This window comes from Homo sapiens, chromosome 15, assembly GCF_000001405.40.
Source record: "Homo sapiens chromosome 15, GRCh38.p14 Primary Assembly".
NCBI classification, from domain to species: domain Eukaryota; kingdom Metazoa; phylum Chordata; class Mammalia; order Primates; family Hominidae; genus Homo; species Homo sapiens.
Genome location: NC_000015.10, coordinates 27686322 through 27688413, shown reverse-complemented (window position 1 = coordinate 27688413; position 2092 = coordinate 27686322). Strand labels below are relative to the sequence as shown.

The 2092-nt window shown below is 47.8% G+C and overlaps 1 annotated feature.

The window, feature by feature from the left end:
• Positions 876–1855: an enhancer, noted in NCBI's record as "H3K27ac-H3K4me1 hESC enhancer chr15:27931705-27932684 (GRCh37/hg19 assembly coordinates)". NCBI's record gives its function as "activates a minimal SCP1, AML or CMV promoter by ChIP-STARR-seq in primed H9 embryonic stem cells {active_cell/tissue: H9 hESC(primed)}" and the evidence as "EXISTENCE:reporter gene assay evidence [ECO:0000049][PMID:30033119]".

Here is a 2092-nt window from a genome sequence, read left to right as displayed (position 1 = left end):
AGGTGGCTTTTCTAGCTGGGAAATACATAGACAAATAGAACCACAATGGAAGATCACTGGGACAGTCTTGGAATCTTAGACTGTGAACCCCTGAAGGACAAGCTTGTATCCTTAGTATCTACAGGAGTGTCTGGAACTGGGAGGCCCATATCTGCCTCTGCCCTCGAGTCCCTCTCTGGACCTACTCTGCCTTCTCATTCTCCTGTTGACCCAAGTGTTAACCAGGAAACTTAATTTAATACCACTAGATGCTGACCATAAAGATAGCTGGTTTCTATTCTTCTAATGTGGAACCTGAATTTTGCTCACCAACCAGTCATTGCTTATGGCAGCTATAAACACTTAAAGCTTTTCACACACGGCAAATTCACCCATTTCCAAGGTGTTTATATGGACACCACGACATGCCAGGTGTGGGCTAGGGGCTCATGACATGGAGCAAAATCAATGACCCCACCTCACGGAATTCACAGCCTGGGGGAGGAAGCAGGTGTTTAAATAGAGGATAATACAGACAGAGATTGAGAAATTGTAACTATGATTCTCCAGTCTCCAGAACTGTAAGCAACACATTTCCGTTGCTTATAAGCTGCCCAGCTTATGGAATTTCGTTATAGGAACCCGAATGGACACAAGACACATATAACACTAGATACAGTGTGATTTGATTCAGTAGCATCTAGATTCTTCTGATCAGGCATGCCTGATAATGCACCTGTACATCCTGTAAACTGTTTCTGACAATGAGCCTTTAATTCACACATATGCACGTGTTTACAAATTATAAACATATGCTATTGTGACCAGATTTCTCATAAGCAGGAATGTCCCACTGAGTGAGTGGTCTTACCTCCCTGGGATCCAGCACTCCACTCTGGAGAACACTCCCCTAATAGTGTCCTGCCCAACTCCGTGTTATTAAACTAGATGGGAGGGGAGGGCATCTGCAGGGATTCTCTGGAAAAGAGGCAGAAGTTGGATTTCTCTCTGTGATTCCTGGGCTGGCCAGAAAAGGAAGGACAAGTAGACTCAATGGTCAGTAATGGCCAAAGACCAAAGTTCAGGGATGTATGTGAGGTCCAAGACCATGCTTCTGGCCAGATGGGAATGTGGTGGAGGTCCACACTGGTCATGCTGTGTGCTGAGAGCCCTGGGCTCTGTGGAGAGCAATGGGGTGGCCAGGCAGGGGGTGGCCAGCTCCCTGCACTCTTCCCATCAAAACAGTGTGTATCGATTTTACCTGTCGAACGTCTGCATTTGATGCAGTTCTCCCTGGCCAGACACAGTCTAAAGCCCCCGCCCCAGCTCTTGCGGCTGCCCCTGTCCACACCCCCTCCAGCCTCCCAAACTCCTCCAAGTCACGCCCACCTCACGAACACTTTGAGGTGTTTGAGTGAATTGACTGAACCTGCACCCATGCCAGGTAGGTCTATTGATCACTCCAGTTTTACTATTCCAAGCTCAACGCATCTGGCACACTGGACCAGGGGTAGGAGGGTCAGAGGGAAGCCCAGGTCCTCGTGCTCTTCCAGGGAGAGCGGGGCTGGGTGGCAGGCCTGGCCTCACAGCACCCTCCACGCTGGCAGGACCTGGCCACACCCCGTGTACTGGAAATTCACTGTAAGGGCCAAAGGAAAACTTCTGCCCTCTGAAGGTTTTCTGAAAATCAACTCACAAAAGACAGATTAGTAGAAGCAAAGATCTACAAAATTTTAACATGTACAGCATGGGGAGTCTCAGGAGAATGATCCCCCAGTAACCCAGCATGCTGCAGGAACCTATTTACCTTTTCTTATAGGGGAAGGGAAGCTGGGGGAATGAATAGGCGCAATACTCAGACAATGACTCATAAGAACGAGGGTTGTTTTATGCAGATAAATTCCTTCAGTTAGACTCTAAGAGCTTCCTTCGGGAGAATAGATGGTTAAGTCTGTCTAGGAGCAGGGAGGACTCCCAGTCTCTTCTCCTTTGATGGTTGATCTTTCTAGGTTATTTGATAAATCCCTAGGGAGGGGGTTTAAGACAATTGCATTGTTTGGAAAGAAGCTTTTTTGGTCAAATAAAGAAATTGCAGAGGGAGGCCCTCCCTGTG